Source organism: Homo sapiens, chromosome 4, assembly GCF_000001405.40.
Source record: "Homo sapiens chromosome 4, GRCh38.p14 Primary Assembly".
In the NCBI taxonomy this organism is placed as follows: Eukaryota; Metazoa; Chordata; class Mammalia; order Primates; family Hominidae; genus Homo; species Homo sapiens.
In genome coordinates this window covers 181,819,993-181,841,063 of record NC_000004.12, presented here as the reverse complement: position 1 = coordinate 181,841,063, position 21,071 = coordinate 181,819,993, and the positions used below count along the sequence as shown (strand labels likewise).

At 38.5% G+C, this 21,071-nt stretch overlaps 1 protein-coding gene, 1 long non-coding RNA gene and 1 pseudogene across 8 annotated transcripts in view, besides 1 other annotated feature; 2 read left to right on the top strand and 1 right to left on the bottom strand.

Annotated features, from left to right (window-relative positions):
• TENM3 (teneurin transmembrane protein 3) overlaps positions 1-21,071 on the bottom strand; it is a 1,355,412-nt gene that overhangs the window by 961,961 nt on the left and 372,380 nt on the right. The window lies entirely within an intron of this gene.
• RN7SKP13 (RN7SK pseudogene 13) lies at positions 5,956-6,199 on the top strand (annotated as a pseudogene).
• Positions 10,243-10,402: an enhancer, noted in NCBI's record as "active region_22173". NCBI's record gives its function as "activates an Ori minimal core promoter by ATAC-STARR-seq in GM12878 lymphoblastoid cells {active_cell/tissue: GM12878}" and the evidence as "EXISTENCE:reporter gene assay evidence [ECO:0000049][PMID:35858748]".
• Positions 11,091-21,059, top strand: TENM3-AS2 (TENM3 antisense transcript 2). Its single transcript, NR_147188.1, has 3 exons — positions 11,091-11,140; positions 19,435-19,508; positions 20,769-21,059. It is a non-coding gene; the product is annotated as a TENM3 antisense transcript 2 (long non-coding RNA).

Genomic DNA, 21,071 nt, shown 5'->3' with positions numbered 1-21,071 from the left:
TTCAGAGGAGAACCCTGATTGAACTAAAATGCCTATTAACCTACAAAGCATTGACATTTCCTAAAACAGCATGGATTGCTAGAAAACTTACAAAACTTTAAAAAAGTAGACAAAGGAATAAGCCTCTTTCAAATATAGTCAGTGCAGAAAATACTCAGGCTGGTGACTGAGTGCAAGTGGAAACCAGCAAAGTAACTGAAACATTAAGTTATGATTTTGCTTTGTGGAGCATGTGTCTAGATTGTGATCTTGACATTTGTGTTCTCCTATCTTCTAGAAGTAGAGGGGTTCAAAGCCCATGGCTCATACCATGTGTGTATTCTAATAGGAGAACCTTTCCTGTCCATGAACCTGCACCTAAGGGGGTAAATAATTAGCATCAAGGGAAATGAAAAATAACCCCCTGCCCAGAAGACTGCAAGAAAAATACTCTATATCATATGTTGGAATTAAACAGGAATAAGGTTGGAAACGTACCCTAGTAATTCATAGTTATAAGCCAGACCTCACCAACAGTTGCAGCCTACTGTCCGTAATTCATAATTTTGAGGCTTACTCAAAAACCTCAAAATAGTATTTAGTTTAGAGTAGACTCAGACTGGTAGTGCTTCAAAAACAAATACACTCACTCCTGAGAAATCTGGTTTATATAAACAAACAAATCACAAAACACACAAGGTAAACAAGATGTCATAAGCAAAAGCCAGTAGAAGTTCCAAACAGCAGATTTAGACCCATAAAATGTTCGCTTATTAAAATTATCAGCCACAGAATGTTAAATAAGTATACTAAAATGTCTCAAAAAGTCAAAAAGAAAAAATCAAGGGAAGAACTTTCAATATAAATGTGTAATAAAGAAAATGAAAAATTTAGCTGATAAGTTGAACTGTAGTTTAGACACACCTAAGGAAAAAACAGGTGACTTAGAAAACAGTAAAATATTTATGTATATAAAAATTTGATTCCTGAGACAAAAGGCAATAAAAACATGCAAGAGAAGTTTAGAGACTTTGAAGATAAGGTGGAAAAGTATAACATACTTCTTGCTAAAGTTTCAGAAGAAGAGGAAGAGACAGAAAATGACTGAAGCAACATTTAAAGAGATAATGGCTAAACTTTTTCAGACTTATTGAAAAGACGTCAATCAATTTATTCCAGAAATCTAGTGAAATACAAGAAAGATTCATAAGAAGAAATGTAAACCTAGGCATATTTTAGTGAAACTGCAAGATACTAAAGACAAAGAGAAGATCATGAATGTAGTCAGAGAGAAAAGACAGATTAACTTCATACAAGCAAGAGTTAGGATATCCCCTGAATTGTCATCAGAAACAACAGACCAAAGAAGATGATAATATATAATAATATATTCATTATGCATAGTGAAAAAGCACCCCCAAACTTCTCGATCTAAAATTCGATTTTTTTAAAGTATTGAGATGAAATAAAGAATTCCAAACAAAAACTGAGAAAGTGTAAGTTTACTACCTGCACACCCTCAACAAGGCTAATTTTAAAGGCACATATGAGCATGTGTGTGTATATAATAGTATATATCATATGTATTATATATTATATAAAATGTATTTTGTATATATATATAGATATATATATCAATGCACACAAAATATATGTATATGTATATAGGCATACATGTATATATATATGTATATAGGTGTATATATATATATATATATATATATATATATATATATATACCCTCAATACATATATGCACATAGACACCCATACAGACAGAGAGAAGATATAAAAGCTAACAACTATAAGTCTGGGAAGGGTAAGTGGGAGTTCTTTATATTATTCTTCTTTTCTATAGATTTAAAATTATCTTAAAATATTAAAAACAAAATAATAAAAATGATAGTAGAACTTTCCCATATGTTTAGAAATTAAGAAATCTATTTCTAAATTACTCATAGTCAAAAAAGAAATTATAATGGGATTTAGAAAAAATGAGAAATGAACAAAAACGAAATAGCCAAATTTCATTACCGATTTACCCAAACTTGTAGAATGCAGTTGAAAAATACTTAGAGGAAAATTTAAAGTCATAAATGCTTATATTAGAAAAGAAGACTAAGAATTAATAAATAAAACATGCATTTTTAAGAAGTTACAAAAATAACAACAAAATAAGAGAGAAACACAGACAATAAAGAGCAGAAGTAAAATAAAAATGAAAACAAAAGGAGAGAATCAATAAAGCCAACAATTTTTTCACTGAAAAGCCTAATGAAATTGCCAAACTCCTAGCAATTTTTCAGGATAAAAAGAAAAAGAAAGAGAAAAGAAATAACATTAAAATTTTAAAAATAAGAATGCTATAAATATTAGATTCACACGAATACATTTTTGTCAATAAATTTGAAAACTCATGAAATGAACAAATTCCTAAAGTATAACTTATCAAACTAACTTGAGAAAGAATAGAAACTCTTAATATTGTCAAGCTTCTAAAAAATTTCATCTGTTCCTGTCAATAAAACTCCAGGCCTAGTCTTTTTTACAAGTTTGGTCTACCATACATTTAAATAACAAATAGCTCCTATTCTATACTAGCTATTCCAGAATGTAAAAAAGAAGAGAAAGTCTCAAACCCATTTTATGAAGTCAGCAAATTCCAGATGCCCAAACTCGACAAAAAAGTATATTAACACATCAATTCTTTTGAAGTGAGCAAATTCTAGATGCCAAAACATGGCAAAAAAGCGTATTACCAGATCAATTTCATTCATGAATGTAGGCGAGAAGATCCTAAATCAAATATTGGTGCAGGAGATCCAGTAACATATAGAAATGTAATTCTTACAACAAAGTGCAGTTGTTTTAGAAATGCAAATCTGCTAGAGGCTTCTAAGGTTTTCTTTCTCTTTTCTTTCTTTCTTTCTTTCTTTTTTTTTTTTTGAGATGGAGTCTTGCTCTGTTGCCCAGGCTGCAGTTGCAGTGGCGCGATCTCTGCTCATTGCAAGCTCCGCCTCCTGGGTTCAAGTGATTCTCCTGCCTCAGACTTCTGAGTCACTGGGATTACAGGCGTGCACCACAACGCCCAGGTAATTTTTGTATTTTTAGTAGAGACAGGGTTTCACCATGTTGGTCAGGCTGGTCTCAAACTCTTGACCTCGTGATCTGCCTGCCTCGGACTCCCAAAATCCTGGGATTATAGGCGTGAGCCACCATGCTTGTCCCTAAGGTTTTCTTATACTGGTTTCCCCACTCCTGGCCACATGGTAGACTTTCATTTTCCCCACTTCCATATAAGGAGTTCTGGCAAAACAGCTGTGGGCAGAAGTGTTATGAGCCACTTTTGGGCTAGAACACTCAATTGCCACAGAAAGATCTTTCTTTTGATCATCTGCTCCTATGCGATGATGAACGTGGAGGCATGTGTATCAAGGTGGTTTGTCCATCAGCTCAGATCCTGGAATGACTAAAATAAGCATAGGTCCCTTGCTGAAACCTGTTGGACATGCAGCAATGATTGCTTTAATTGAAATGGTGATGATCAAATGCAGCACAGTCTAGCAATTAATGACAGTTCCACATGGTTGATTTAACATTGGAAAATCGAATGTAATTCAACACATCCATAGTTAAAGAGAAAAAAATAAACTTAATAAATGTGAAAAAAGCCTGTGATAAAATGTAATATTCATTCATAATGAAAAAAACTCTTATAAACTAGGAATAGAAGTATTTTGAAAAAGGACAATATGATGCAAAACAGTAAAACATTTAAAATATTCTGAGATCACTCTAAGAGTGGCTCTCAATACCACTTCCATTCAATATTATGTTAGAGACCATAGACAGTCTGCTAAGACAAGAAAGAAAAACTAGTTTAAAAATTGGGGAGGAAAAAATAAACTTTCTATTTAAAAAAAATGATATGATAGTCTACATGTCTTCAAATATGAAGATAAACCATTAGTATTAATAAGAAATGTAAGTACATTTGCAAGAAAGTGATTATTTAAAACTATTTGCATTTTCTGTTCTTCTGAACAGAAGATAAATTTAAAATACACTATTCACAATAGCATCAACAATTTAGTTCTTAAGAATAATAAAATGTGAGCAAGACTGTTACAGAAAAATCATAAAACTTTATTAACAGATATTAAAATAAATAAAAAAGATGAACCATATTCATGGATTAGTAAACTCAGTATTTTAAAGGTATCAATTTTCCTTCAGATTGAACTATGGATTTAGTGTAACCTACCCTCCCCCAAAGAAGAACGTTTATTAAATTTTATAACTTGACACATTAATTCTGAAATACATACGGAAGTGCAAAATCCCAGGAATATCCAAGAAATTGTTCAGAAGAACAGTATGGGAGGGCACTGGCTTTATCAGTGAGGCTAAAGTTATTAAGGCACGGTGATATTGGCATAAGCTGACTAATGAAATAGAGTAGTATCCAAGAAACTGAGTTACGCATGTGTAGCTGAACAAGCGATAAATGTCAAGGTGGTATTGGAAATCAATGAGGAAAGGATGAACTTTTAATAAATGATACCATGATCAGTCATTCATATGAAAAAAGAAATTGAACCCATCCCTCATACACAACATGCAAAATCCAATTCCAGGTTAATGAAAGACCCAAATGTATTATTTAAAAAATATATTATTTAAGAAGTTTAAATGCTGTGATGCATTACACAAGGCCATGAACTGGAGGTAGGGGTGGAGAGTGGTGTCTGTATATGAAATTAGAAATGGCTATAATTTCATTTTAAAAACAGACTAGTATCTCAAATAATTCAGTAAGAATATGAGTATTTTGACTAGAATTCCTATTACCCAGAGAATTTATAAAGGGGAAGTTGTGTGTGTGTGTGTGTGTGTGTGTGCATGTGTGTATGAAAACAGTGTATAGCAAACATGATCAGAATGGTATTGGAAAAGATTCTGGGGAGAGAATGATTGATGAGAGTCACTTTTGTCCTCAAGGAGCTCGCAGTCCATCAGGTAGTACCCATAGGACTTAGGCTGCAATGAGCAGAGATGTCCACCACTCATATCCTCCCCACTGTCAAAAACTGTACAGAATAGGGAGACAGGCAAACGTAGTTACCAAGGTCAAAATGACCAAGGGTTTGGGATCACCTAGAATAGATTCCTGAAAGTAGAACCTCTTTGGAAGAAAAAAAAATGTTCCCACTGTTGCATTCTTAATCAGACAATTAACCAAATGTAATTACTGGCTACTGAATAAGATAACTTGTAGTATTTATGTCAATTACATGCACATCTTTTTAATTCTTTTAATTATGTACCTTAATGGTCTTACTGCCGATAACTAAAAAACACCAAGGTTTGGTAAACATGCAAGCCTCATCACGTTCTTCATTAAATAACTGGAGTATTAGATCATTAGACCTGTCAGATTTTAGCTGAATATGCAATAGATTCTCCTGAATCACAGGAAAACGTCTTTGACTCATACCAAGCAACCTGGAAATGATTACATTGGTCGCCAAGAGTGGTTGACTTTGCTCATCACTTGCGGTAAGTTGTCTTTTTGTGATCACTCAAGCCTCATTATTCATGTAATTACTGTGATCATTATGACACTAATGACTGTTGAAGTCTAAATGTGTGAAATTAACTCACTAACAAGTGTAAATATGTGTCCATGAAGGGCCAATATATAAACTGGAAAATGAAACTTTGGTATTCTGCTCAAAATGAGAAATTAGCACCAACATTAGAATATCAATAGGGTATATGAATGTTTTGTGAATGTAACCATAGGTTGACCATGGTTAGATAAATTTAGTTATTAATAAAATTAATCCATATGGGAGTGAATACTCAGAGTACATATAACCCTTCTCTAACAGACCGAATTTGAAAATCTAGTTCAGTTTCTTGAGGCCAAAATAAATTAATTCATAAAGGTGACCTAATGGTGGACACATTTTAGAATTTGAGGGTGACCTGGCTTTGACAAGCCACCCCACGGATCACTAGTGTTTTTTCAACTGATCTTACTGGCTTGTTGGGTGCCCCCTTCCCCTCCACACTTCTGTGTCTGTCCTTCCTGAGGCAGAATGCTCAGTCAAAAAGGACATTTAAAAAAATATATTACAGAACTCCTCATGTTGATTTCTGTTTAGATAATGATCAAATTACTAGTTTTTCTGAACCTACTAGGATGGAAAAAAATGGCACTTGAAAATTAACAACAGGAATAAGACATCCTTTTCTTTAGAGCTCCTATTTTTAGTAATCTACTCCTAGACCAACCCCCAAATCTGTCCCCAACAGGTTGGCTGTAGAATAGTGTGAGGCCGTTGTTCTCCAATCAAAAGGATAAACACGTGCCTGACTTTCCATCTCTTGAAGAGCGGTTGGTGTACGAACGCATGACAGGATCACTCTCAGGTTGGCTAGGAGGCCAACGCTTCCTTCCCCGCTTCCCCCGCCCCATGCCCAGGCTGAGGGCAGGAACTTGAGTTTGTCCTGGTGAGGTGGGATCCCAGGTGCAGGTGCATACCAGCTGGAGGCTGCTCGTATGCCAGTTGGCGCCTATGAGCCCAGACACACACTTGCTGTGATTCTGAGCCTTCCTGCAGCCCAGCTCCCTTATGCGGTAAGCCCCCTGGAATACTGGTGATTAAGCCCATATTTTAAAATGGTTTGTGACTGACAGGACAGGAAAACAATGCATTTGAAATAGCAGCATAAGACTTCCTTACAGATTTAGTTGAATAAGTTGGGCATCTCTCTTTAGTGTAAAACAAACAAACATGACACAAAATGTGTTGTTGAAAATGCCATATGTCTGAGTTGGAGAATAAAAGGTTTCATTCAATAAGAAGTTGTCAAGCAACCACCAAGAGTGAGGCAATAGGGACAAATGCTATGGGCCAAAAAAATCCCCTTCCATTCTTTCTTCATTTCTTTTTTTTTTTTTAGCAAATTTATTTTTTCTCGTAAGTCTCATTTTCCTCCTGCTGCATGTATGAATCTAAAATGCACGTCAATGGAGAATACAATTGGTCTTTTCCTTAAAACATCCAAAACTGACTTAAAATAAAAAGCCACACTTTAACATTCTCCAAGTTGGAGTTGCCTTAATTAATGAGTCAAATTTTGAAAGCAAGATTTAATAAGTTCTCAACTAAGTGCCAGGTGCTGTGTTAGGAACCAGGTAGACAGAAATGATAGCAGGACACCCCTTGTCCTTGAGAAGCCAACAGGCTACAGAGAAAAGAGACATATTACCGAGTAATTCCAATCTCATTTAATACACGGGTCAGTGCAAGTTGTTAAGAACGTGACTAATTATGTCAAGGAGAACAAAAAAAAAAAGTTTCCAGAGAAGAAGTAGATAGGCATAGAGGAACAGCAGAGAGCAGAATGAAATGCAGGAAGGTCTAAAAGCAGGGTCTTCTCCCCCTCAGTTAAAGGTGTGAATTTGTCATGACTGAATGTCAAAGAAGTGGAGTAGGAGAGGTGGGGCCATATTTGAATGGCCTGAGTAGCCTTGGAAATGAGTTTGGATTTTATCCTGAAGACAGCTAGAAACTAATCAGAGGTTTTAAGCATGGCAGCGACATGCTCCCCTGCCCCCCTGTTTTAGTTAGATAACTCAGCATTTTCCAGATAACATGGAGAGGTTGGAGGCAGAGTACAGTAAGGAAGCTACTGTGATAGCCCCGTGGACAGTAAGTGGTAGCCTGAGTTAAAGCTGTGACTGTATGGATGAAGAGGATGAGAGGATGAGGAGGGTAGAGATTTGACAGCTGGAATGAACCGGGCTAGTGATAACTCACTTGAGATTTGAGGATCAGGAGAGGGAAGGAGATGCCAGCGCCAGTGATCTCTGATAGCCTCTCCTGGAATTATCACCTCTGTTGTCGGGAAGTTTATTCTTATACCAATATAAGAATATTGGTATAAGATTTCCCTTCTCTAGATTACGCATTCTCAGTTCTTTCAGACCTCCTCTAGATTACACAATCTCAGTTCTTTCAGACCTAGAATATGTTACTGAGTTTGTTTTGTTCTGTGTTTCTCAATTATTTTTTGCTTGCTCACATCTGTTTTTCCAATGTCCAGGTCACACTCAGGGTGATTGTGTCCACCACTAGTTTGGTAAAGATTCCTCATCTTCTGGAGCACGGTCCTTCCATGCTTGAGTGAATGTTGTTGGTTATCCACGGGGTTCATTTCACTCTCTTCAGGCACTGGGCTGCCCCCCACACAACCCGCTCATCTCAAGGAATGCCACCCCGTTCCTGCTAATCCTCGACCAGCCCCAAGGCGGTTCAATTGATTTAAAAGTAATTCCATCCCAATAGCGAGTGACTCGTCAGGATCCAAGAATGTGAGGAAAGGTTTCCTAGGAGAATCTTGGAAAGTTTATCTTTCCTTTCTCCTCTGCAAGAAATAGCTGAAGCAAGTCTCTTAGCGTATCTATAGACGGTAGATACTTCCTAGCCATAGAAGCAGATGTGTCATAGATATTTAGCCTGGAAATAGCCAGCTGCTGGTTTATGGAGGTGGAGAGAGCTAAGAGGATTGCAGAAAAATGGATCCAGTTACTAGGCTAATAGAACACTGAAACCCCGTCCTTCCTCCCGTGTTGCCATTTTGGCGAGCCCGTTTTCTTATGCTTTAAGCTAGTTAGAATTAGGTTCTGTAGCAGGGAAACAAAAGAAACCCAGCTGTTGCATATTGTAATCTTATTAACACACGCTGAAGTCAGATTTGCTTTTAAAAAAATTGGCCACATTGCAAGTCTCCTATTTCATTGTTTCAGGTCTTTTTCCGATATATTTTAATCTGCCTTGTACGCAGCTCTTGGGGACCCACTGTGGAGAACATAAACACATTGGAAAACCGTGGTCTCCACTCTGAGTTCATAATGTGGTATGGCAGACACGAAACACATTGTGCACTTCAGTAATTTCCTCCCATATAATTACCTATGGCTTCCTATTGTTCCTCCGAATTTCTCCATACCGTGAATGACCTGAGGGCAGGAGCTGGGTCTTTTACATTTTATACACACACACACACACACACACACACACACACACACACACACACACACAATGTAATATATATATATTACTGTATAGATGTATATTCCCTGATGCTTCATGCAGGGTTGACACAGAGTGTGCTGAATTAACTCTGGGATCTTTTTGGACTCTTAGTGTATTGCTCCTAGTAAATTCCTTTTCACCCATGGTAATATCATCTTAATAGTCCATATTTTGTCTGTTGTGTAACTGATTACATATTAGCTGGTTTCAACACAAGCAATACTGCTTGATTGGTTCAATCACTCCTGCAGAATCTGTTCTCTACAAAGCTTTGTTCTTTGTTAGCTAGTGTCCTGTGATTGATGTTTCTGAAATCAGATTTTTGTAACATTCCTAGTTTTTTTCAAAATGTGAAAATTAAGGTCAGTGATCTTTTAAAAAGACTAGATAGCTTATTTTAATTTTTTACAGTACACATAAAATTCCCTTATGTCCAGTCTTTTATAACTCTAAAAAATCAGGTTTTTTTTTTTTTGGCACATAGGCAATGTTAATTAAAATGATAGGTTAATGCTTTCAGGGTTAAACATCTGATAGCAACAATATTAAATAATAAACCATTTGGCTTTTCTAACTTCTGTAGCCGAAATAAAACTGGAGAAATAAGAACTCCATGACTCTCAAAGGTGGACTTATTAGAATAATACATGCAGATGACAAACTCACCTCAAAAGAGACACTGCTAATCAAGAGATTACCAAAAACAAAATTTTTTGCAATCTTTAAATGTAAGCCCAAAAAGTACAAAATTTGATCATAAAATCTTAATATTTGTGGGAAGTGAAGGATAAGAATTAAAGAATTATCTGTAAGTCATAGTAAATCTATTTTTAAACAATATACAAAATGAAAAATTGATTATTTGTCTGTGTCAATTATATTAAATTAGACAAACATTGTCATGAATTATGAAAAACCAGTTTTTTGGGGGTTGGAAAGAGAGAAAGATTTTTAAGATGATAAGATTATTTTTACTTTGATGAGGCCGGTGTCTAATTGAAATGCTACCTATGTGTATGAGAAGTTGTAGGAAAAAGTCCCCCAGAATTTAGGCACACAGTTAGGGAAGAGTCATTCTGAAACTGAAAATAGTAAAAACTTCAGTCAGCGTAGATAAGCTTAACATTACAGGAGCGACCTACACTCAGGAAACTTGGTGACGGGATCAAGCTGGACAGGAGACTCTCCAGGACTATCAAGTGGTTAAAGATTTCAGTCCATCTGGGAAGGGCAAACTAATTAAACAGTGTTAGGTGTTACTGTGTGGCAGGCACACAGCAAGGCAATTTATATAACATAATATAACCCAATCTTTGTCTCTTTACTCTGAGGGATGTTATTTCCCCTAGTTTACAGGTGAGAAAACTGAGGCTAGAGAGACCGAGCAGAAGAAGCAAGCTGGGGCAGGGCACAGTGGCTTATGCCTGTACTCTCAGCACCTTGGGAGGCTGAAGTGGGTGGATCGCCTGAGGTCAGGAATTTGAGACCAGCCTGACCAACATGGTGAAACCCCATCTCTACTAAAAATACTAAAAAAATTAGCTGGGCATGATGGCACATACCTGTAATCCCAAGCTACTTGGGAGGCTGAGGCAGGAGAATCACTTGAACCCGGGATGGGGAGGTGGCAGTGAGCAGAGATTGTGCCATTGCACTCCAGCCTGGGTGACAGAGCAAGACTCTGCTCAAAAACAAACAAACAAACAAAAAAACAAAAAAAGCAGCAGCAGCAAGCAGGATGCAACAATTCTTGTAGAAAATATCTACAGTGAAAATTCCCTCCACCTAAACGTAGCACTCTTGAAAAGCTCACACAGAAAGCTTTCTATGAAGACTCAGGTGCTCTTCCACATTTTTCCATCACATCCTCTGCTTCCACTGGGTGGAGAACTTGTCACCCAGTGTCTGAATTACTAGTGTGCTTTTCTCTCTCCTGCTAGATCCTTGAAGGACAGCACTGTGCCTTGGTCTCCAGGGACCCCAGAAGCACACCTCGAGACCATGACTCAAGAGCAAGTACTTAATTTGGAAGGTGAAGGAACTGCTGGTAGGTAAGTGGGGACGTGAGCTAAAGGAGAGAACGTAACCATGAGCAGGCAAATAACCAAACCAGCTCCCACCATGGGGACTGAGCTTCCTCACTCTGGGGAAACTCAGGGGCTGGTGCAGAACCTGAGAGTTAGTCATCTCCCACTCCCATCAGCACTGCTGGAGGCTTGCTCCTGTGGGGTGGGCAATGTAGGGGCTGGCACTGGGACATGGGAGGACTGAATGGGAAGGGGATGGGATAGAGCGGTTCAGCAGCATCTGCTACACTTTCCTCCCTACCTCGCCTGGAGCCTATTGGGCAGCATCTAGGCAAGAATCATTTGTTGAGTGAGACTGTCCTTTTCATTTACCAATCAATATTATGAGCATCTGTGTAGAGTGAGTTCGTTCTCCTAAACCTGATCAACTTTAGGCCGATTGACTACATTGAGTTTCTACACATATGAAGTTCAGGACCAAACCCCAAACTATTGCAATTTTACCAATGAACTGTCTGAAGTCAACAGCAGGTCATCCCCTTTAACACATATTTAGCCCCATCAATATATCTCTTTATTCCTATCCAGGTATCAGCACCTAGCAAATACAACATTTTAGACAGAAACATCATTATAGTTGCTGCACTTCCTGAAACACTGTAAAATCTAGAAAACAGGAACATTTCAGAAGTTCTGAATATAACTGAGAAGCATCCAGTGTGGCTGTTTGTTAACAGTGATAGTGTCAGATGTAAAGACAGAAATAATTCACTCTTTCGTGATCTAATTTTAGTGAACAATTTAAGGTGAAGCAAAAAGTCACCACATGAATTCAAAGACCCTGTTTAAGAGAAGGCCTGTGTGCGTGTGATTTAAAGTACTGTCTCCCCTATGTCTGTGAGATGAATGAGAGCAGTGCAACGGGTCCATGTCACCTTGGCTGGGGTGGTGACGGCACCTCAATGCACACAGGGTAGCAAGTGTGTCACCAGAGGGGGTCCCTGACAGACAGGGTGGTATCATGGGAGGACAATGGAACTTAGAATTAGAAATCCTGGGGATGGGTGCAGTGGCTCACTCCTGTAATCCCAGCACTTTGGGAGGCCGAGATGAGTGGAACACTTGAGGTCAGGAGTTCAAGACCAGCCTGGCCAACATGGTGAAACCCCATCTCTATTAAAAATACAAAAAATTAGCCGGGTGTGGTGGCACACACCTGTAATCCCAGCTACTCAGGAGGCTGAGGCAGGAGAATCACTTGAACCTGCAAGGTGGAGGTTGCAGTGAGCTGAGATGGTGCCACTGCACTTTCTCAGTGCCTGGGCAACAGAGTGAGACCCCATCTTATAAAAAAAGAAAAAAAAGAAGAAAAAAAGAAATCCTGGGTTCAAGTGTTGTTTTGTCATTTACAGTGTGTAATCCTGGGCAAGAAACATGAACTCTTTGAGCCTTAATCTCAGCATTGATCGAATAGAATCATAATGGCTACTTCATTGGGATATTTTGAAGATTTATGCAAATAGTGGGCTTTGTAAACAGTAAAGCACTGTACAAATGCCACTAGTATTGAAAGAAAGAAGAAGGAATATTATTTGGCATCCTCCAAACCCCAGAGAAAAGCAAAGGGGCTTTTTGGTGTGGAAGCCTTTGGCCTGGGCCATCAGAGAGTCCATTCACCAGGATGGTGCCGCAGTCAGGGGCGGCAGAGGAGACGGCAACCTTGGCAGTAAGGGAAGGAGCACCTCAAAGCCCACACGTGGCAGGGGCAGCTTGGCTTCAGCTTCCCCTCCTGGAGCCAGGGCATTCATCAGGATACTATGGAAGTTTGGTTTAGTCAGAGAAAACAGCTCTGCCTTTTCTCCTCGCTCAAAAAGGGTCAAGGAAGAAACCTCAGTTCCTAGAAACCAGTTTCCAAGCAGGCAGAACTCTCTTTCTGGAAGCCAGGCTGGGGACATGAATACGGAAGATGATATCCCTTACTGAGAAGGAAGAGGAAGAGATCATTTTTTTTAATGAATTGGTTCCCACTACTGTTCCAGTCACAAGCCCTGTCTTGGCCTCTCTTGTTTTGTTTTCATACTTGAAAATGATCAACATGAAAACAGCCTGTCAGTACTTTGCAACAATGACTCTCACAGCTGCTCTGTCTATAAAAGACTGTTGCTTGGTAGGCATCGTCCTGCTCTCCTTACCTGGTTCCGACTGCCTCATACCTGGGGTGAAGCATCTGCCACAGGGTTCCTCCCTCAGCCGTGGAACCTGGTGAGCTGTGGGTCACCCACTCAGTCTCACCGAAGAACCAATGATTGAAATGATAGTCTGTTTGCAAATCGTGACTGTCAGGGAGGCAAGAGCTTCAGAAGACATTGCTTGAACTGGATTATTCTTTGTAGAGGAGGGCACATCAACAAAGAATTTGTTGCATGTGCTAAGTGGGCATTTTAGCAGAAAAGCGCTGTGCTGGTGTATGCAAATCTTTTGTGTGAGCTACTTTTAGGCTCCTCCGGTGGTACACGGAGCCACGCTGGCTTCTGGCTCTGCCGACTGCTCACGACTGTTTGCAGATAAGAACAGAGGTGAACCTGAACTCTACATAGTTTGTTTCTTCTTTGCAAATAGATGTGCCTTGAATTAACAGGGAGAGGGAAAAATCTTACAAAGTATATTATATTTCACGAATCACCAATACGGATCTTAAAGAGTTACCCCTGTCTCCCACCATCTGTTAGCACTAATCGATAGGTGTTACCAATTAGCGCTAACAGACACAATCAGTTGGGAGACTAACAACAGCTTTCCCATTTCAGGGCTTTCCTGTACATGACCTTGTTTGTTTTGTTGAATTCTGCCCCTTGGAAGGTAGGGAAAAGAGGAATTATTGCGACTCCTGCTTTATAGGACTCCCTGTCTGGTGTCACCCAGCTAGGAAATGACAGAGATGAAATCAGAGCATAGCCTCCTGGTTCTGAATTCTTGCCATTTCTGCAACACCACACTTCTTTCCTGGGAAAGAAGAGGAATATCTAAGAAAGGCTAAAATTTTCCACTTTCAGTGGGGACGAACAACAGAATTTGCAAATTTTATCTTCCCTTTAGAGCAGTGGCTCTTAACCCTGGTTGCACATTAAAATCGTCTGGGGAGCTTTTAAAGAATACCTTTGCCGGGATCTCACCCCATACCAATTAAATCCAAACCTCTGGGGGTGGCCTAGGCAGCTGTATTTTTCAAAAACTCCCTGGGTGATTCTAATGTGTAGCTAGGGTTAAGATTCGCTGCTTTACAGTAATAATCAACAAAACGCTGGTTGCCTTTTTTCCTCTTTTAAACCCCTCTGGGAATGTAGTAATGAGAAATCCTAATAGCCACTTTGCTGATGGCCTCAGAAGATAGGCCCTGGCCCTGGTGCTTAGTAGGGATTCAAATTTATCTAGAGATTGACTGACATGAGATGGGAAAGAAATGCTTTCACGCCTGGATCTGTAACAAGTGGAGCTGTCAATCCAGAAACTTTGTGAGACAAATAAATTACATCCTGATCCCGTCACACCTTTTAATTATGTTACCTTAATAGTTTTACTACTGATGACCAGAAAATTAACACTTATCATTGATAGTGCTACCAACATCTAACAATTGTTTTTCTTTGTTAAATAACTAGTGGCCACTTTTTCTCCGGCTTATTTTTTTTTAGTTATCAAATAATTACAGATAACTATTCATTTCAAGGTTAACTTAGTAATCCACTGTGAATACACATCATTCTTATGGAAATTTTATTACAAGTTATGGCTTCATAGGAATAAATATATGTAACTGGAATGCTTTTATAGTTATTTACAAAATAAACCCACTACTAACAAATTTGTGCTGGATGTTTACATAAAAAAAAGATTCACGTTCTATTAAGTTCATTGTTTTTCTTGCATGGGTCTCTTTAAAACATGCACGAGTTGGCAAGTGTTGGTCCTGCGCTAGGTTTTGGGGTCACTATTAGAATATACTCTGGAGAGTCCCCCATAAGAAATGTGACGATGCAGATATCAAAAAGCGGGAGTGAAGAAGACAGAAGGACTTTAAGGAGGAATTGGTTTTTTCATTGAGTCTGTTTAAGCCATTTCTAAATAAACAGTTTTGGTCTTGAATCTCCAAATCACCATATTCATCCAGTTCTAAGGCATATGTTCACCACATTTTATGTAAAAAATAGGAATATTTACAAATTGAATCTTTTTGTTCTTTTGAGTACACTTATGTTAACTGTGTTTTGTGATTGAGGGTATTTTACTGTCAATAGAATCTGGCATTACATTTGTGAAATTAATTTCCTTTCTGAAGTTTACCAAATATCCAAATTCCAAATTAATAATGCCTTTCCTAATCTCCTTCAGTGGGACTACAATTTGGAATACCTTCCAAATCCCTGTACTTCTATTTCTATACCAATAAAATGGTGGGAAAGACCTGATTTAGTTTTCTCTTACTAGTTTTAGAGAAAAAATATTAATGTCAACTATTCTCTGTTTTTTTTTTTTTTTTTTTTTTTTTTGAGATGGAGTCTCACTCTATCACCCAGGCTGAAGTGCAATGGTGTGATCTCGGCTCACTGCAACCTCCACCTCCCGGGTTCAAGTGATTCTCCTGCCTCAGCCTCTGGAGTAGCTGGGAGTACAGGCTCACGCCAACACAACCAGCCAATTTTTGTATTTTTAGTAGAGATGGGGTTTCACCATGTTGTCCAGGATGGTCTTGGTCTCTTGACCTCATGATCCATCTGCCTTGGCCTCCCAAAGTGCTGGGATTATCGGCGTGAGCCACCGCGTCCAGCCTGAATCTTTTAAAAATAGTTTTTAGTGCCAGTAGGACTACTGTAGTTGCTTATGCTAATGACACCTGGGAACACTTTCTAGTAGGGCCACTGCTATCATTTCTGAGAACTGAATTAAAAATGCGACAGGTAGCCCATAACTTCACACAACTATCAATGACATGGACTTGATGTGCGCAGTGACTGAGTCTGTCCTCAAATGTCAGTGAGTGCCCGGTGGTCTTAACGCATTGTAACCTGGTGGCCGGAAATACTTAATGTGCTTCCCTAAGCAATCTACTTTCCACCAGGACATGGCTAGGACACCGAGTAGAATATAGAGTCTGGTGAATTAGAAGATCATTTTTCCTTAATTTTGATTTTTTTTCCATTGTTGTAGGTGCTTTGAATATTGAGTCTGGTGAATTAGAAGATCATTTTTCCTTAATTTTGATTTTTTTCCATTGTTGTAGGTGCTTTGAATATTAAGTCTTGCCTGATCAGCAACTCATGTTGTTATGATTTAGCCATTTTTCACCTTTCCCCTTCATGTCATATAAAATGGGAAGAATATGACATTTAAGTATATATACTTTTCTGGTTTTAGACGTGGACAGTTGAGATTGTGAAATTGTTATTCTACATAGTGCTATATCACTACCAAAAAATGTTTGCTGAGAGAACTGTCTTACAATATGCATATTGGACCAGCATACTTCTAGCACTCTTAATAGATTATGTTGGTCGGGTGCAGTGACTCAAGCCTATAATCCCAACAATTTGGGAGGCCGAGGCAGGTGGATTGCTTGAGGCCAGGAGTTGGAGGCCAGCCTGGGTGACATAGAAAAACCCATCTCTTAAAAAAAAAAAAAAATTAGCCAGGTGTGGTGGTGCACACCTGTAGTTTCAGCTACCTGGGAGGCTGAGGTGGGAGGACCATTTGAACCCAAGAGGTGGAGGCTGCAGTGAGTTGTGACTGCACCACTGCACTCCAGCCTGAGTGGCAGAGTGAGACTCCATCTCAAAAAATATATAGATTATATTATTAGAAAAATATGAAAAATTCCCAGTTGCAAGTCCTTTGTAAGACTGAGCAGCATGTTCAGCAGGAACTGTAAGTGTCTTCATATATCTGTATCTTTTTAGGATGCACCAATTTTTAAAATGATGTTGTTTTCCCTGTACACAAAAGCCATCACTTCAAAAGCCTTTGATTAATTTGTGCACAATCAAGGGCATATGAGATAGCTGCCATTTAGTGAGCCAAAGCAATCCAATGCCAACTGCAGTAAACCTATCAAGCTGTCATCGAGTCAAGCTGTGAGAAAGGCAGCGACGATTACAAGCAATAGTTTCCTTCAGTGGTTTCATAATTTCAATTTGTTGTTACATTTCCAGATTTTCAATACTTATAGTAAGAATGCTTTAGTAGAGAAATATTTTCCCCAGGGGTTACTATCAACAACTTAGTGTATTGGTTTTTACCCCCATCATTGCTTCAAGTATAGAAGCTCATCAGGCAAGAAATATTGTGATTACAGTCATATATAAATTATTTAAAGGGGTTCAGCCAATCAAAACAGAGATCTAAGTGACTATTTTCCTTATTTTCCTCTTGATGCCTTTGTAACTCCTACTCAAAAAGCAAATTTCTGATTGATAGAATAGTTTTGAAGTTACTTCAAAAAGACCATTCTTTTGGATGGGAGGAGGATCTCAATATGAATGGTTCACATACTTCCACAGTAGCTCTTTCATGACAACTCTTTACAGAGGAGGAGGAGAGAGACCAAAATAACAACAAGCAGGGGAATAGGAAGTGGAGGGACACAGTGTTAGAAGGCAACGCAGGTAATTAAGGTCTATCCTGGAAAAAAAGAAGACTCATGTATTCAGAGGTTCCTCACATATCCCAGTTCTGGCTAAAGAAAGTAATCACTGTTGAATAATCTGTTACCAAAAAGTCTCATTCAATAACCAGCTTTCACTCATGCCTTCCAATGGAAGCATTTAGCACTCTGCAGATAGCCGCTATCATGCTTGACTTCGTACTCTGAATATCACCTGCAAGAAACAAAATGCTAATCGCTTCTCATCTGTCTCAATTAATCCATTCCCTGCATTTTGAGATCTTTCTTTTTCTCCCTCCGCCTTTTTTTTAGATCGTATTCTCATTGCCACATACGATTGTATGTCCACTCTTAATTAAAGCTAATAATCATAGGATAACTCATTTTAGATAGGATCTGGGGTAATATTTTTTCTACAATTTTGTAGGAGAATTAGTACAGCTCCCCTTTTATTTGCCCAAAATTAAACCTGGAAAACCTAGAACTTCCTAAGAGCTAGCAAAGATATCCTCCAAAATTGCCAATAGTGGATGCCTTATATTTGGAAATTCATTTTAAAACATTATTACCTTGTCCTCAAAGGACATTCTGCAAGTGTCATACATACTTGTCATACGTTAAGCAGTGGAGTTAAGACAGAAAGCTGAATCTCCTAACTTACAGCATTAGTGGAAAAGTGAAAAAATATACTAAATAACCATTCTGAACAATATGGAGAATGAATAGACTAGTTTGATAGATAAAGCTTTTATTTATATTTTAGTTTTTGTAAAGGGCTAGTTCAACAGATATGAGCTTTGAAATTACAAAAATGTAGGGATTACACAAATAACACTCTCTCCTTAAATAAGTCTGTTTCCTTTAAAAGCTTATAATACAGCATCCCCCACTTTTGTGACTCTTACGGCAAATACTTCACCAAAAACTCCAATCAATTATGCAGTCTCCATTACAAAGTTTGAGGATTTTAAAGTATCAAAAAGAAACAAGAGGTAATAAACTCACTATTAAAGCATTTAGCTTGGCAAGTGATTTATCTCTGTTCATTTATCTGCTTAGGGTTTTTATCTCACTGTGTGAGCAAATTTCTACTGACAAGCAATTTCTGGAGAGCAGCCAGAAGTGGGGGGGTGTGAGGGAGGGAGAAAGATCTCCTAAGATATCAAAGACCTGAAAAAAGAAACCTGATGAAGTGACATTTGTGGTTTCAAAAATAATACACCTCCTCTAGTCTCCTGTTCATTTACCAAAGAAAAGCTCTCTTGTTCTTTAGCTCCCATTATATAATGCAATGTATAGAATAATTGTGAACAAAATAATTTTCTGTATGAGATATATAAAATCATTTCGACCCAAAACAACCGAGTTAAATGATAGAAACGTGATCTATTGTTGCCTTGTACTTCCAAACATTCTCCTGTTGATACTAATCCTGTCTAACTGAGTATGAATAGAACCAAAGAATTTGCATGGCAGAGTAGCCTAAACAGAAACTAAAATGCTAGCCATGTGTGAGTCACTATTATTATTCATTCATTTGGGGTTCAAATCTTCTGAGTAATTTACACATAGTAGACCCTCAAGAGATGCATTTCATTAAAGTGACTTCTCATTGCCGTTTTCTATAAATTATTTTTAATCTTAACATGCTACCTCATTTAAGCTCTCTGTACAGCAGCTGTATAAATACCGCTCAGGCAGACTTCTTGGCAAATACAGCAAGGCTGCTACAAACAGGTAAGTTCATATATTCCACAAATGCATGTATTCATTCGACTTATAAATATTTACTCTGTGTTCACTAGCACTAAGCCCTCTGCTAGGAGCTGTGGAATTTTAAAGAATAATTAAGATGGAGTTGTGTCTTCAAGGAGTCTCATTATTGACAAAGGATTATATCGCAGGATATAAGATGAGAACTGTGACAAAACACCAAAGGGGATTCAAAGGGGGAAGAGATTGTTTCCTTCCAGTGGAATCTGGGAGGGCTTTTTTGGAGCAAGCGGCACTTCAGCTATGCCTGGACGAGAGGGCCAGGAGCGGGGAATCTGGGGATCCTAGCAGACTGAGATGCGGTGAGGAAAGCCACCAAAGCAAGAAAGCACAGAATGTGTGCAAAGACCAGAGGGAAGTCAGTTAGTCCAGCATGCAAAATGAGAAGGTGGCTATCAGGGACTTTGGTGCACTGGGGCTCTAGGCACTGCCATCCATAGTGGGCAGGAGTGGCTCTCTCTGGAATTCCTCAGAGAATATTCCACTTGAGTAACAGGCAGAACTGCCCAACCTGGAAATTGAAATAAAGATAACACCATGGCAGTCTATATTCCACTTTTCTTTAAAGTGTCAACATAGACACTTACATCTGAGCACCTTTAAAATTTAGATTGTGTCGAAGGAGGTCTAAAACTCTACAGAAGGAAGAATTTTTTAAAAGGCGATGATATAAAATACATAAGGGAAAAACATGAGCCTCTGAACCACATGTGCTGCCACTGGCATTCAAGAAAAAGCTAAACCAGTGTGGGGGAGGGTAAAGGTCCCAACCCCCTGTTCTCTATCTCTAGCACATAAGAAAGGGATATTGTTTCCTAGAACAACACCCCAAGGCCCCCATTAGAACATGAAAATATTTACAGCGGTGGTGCTTTCGCTATGGGATTGCATGTTTTCCTTGCAAATATTTAACCTATGCTTTTGTGAGCCACGGCACATGGTGTAAAGAAAACAGTACAATCAAAGCTGATGCTGAGGGGTGAAGGCTTTTTATCCCAAACTACTGTGTGTGTGTGTGTGTGTGTGTGTGTGTTTAAAGAAAATTTCTAGTTAAACGTGCCCATTATCACTAATCATTGCAACTAAGAAAATATGAAAAAGTTTCTTGTACTTAATCTACTGTGAAAATAGACACTGAAATAAAAATAGCCCAAATTATTGGAGTCTTTTGTTTCATAATTTAAGAAAAATAAAATTTCTTTTTCATCTGTTTTACCCTGTCAGCCAAAAACAAAGCGGAATTGTTCTAGGAAATAAATTACTTGAACAGCGGAGGAGACTTTGCCCTATTTGATATGGAAAGCACAGCCATGGGTATGGATATCAGAGCCTCAGAGTTAGGAGCTGCTCCAAGCCTTCTTCCCTAGATGCCTCACACCCCTCCTGGACAACTTCCAAGTATCACAGCTCTGGATGGCCACTCATCTTCTGTGTACAGACTCCAACCCAGCTGAAACCCATTTCATGAAATGTACTTTATATAAACCTAATTTATTAAAGAGTTGCATTCATTAATGGATTTTTTTT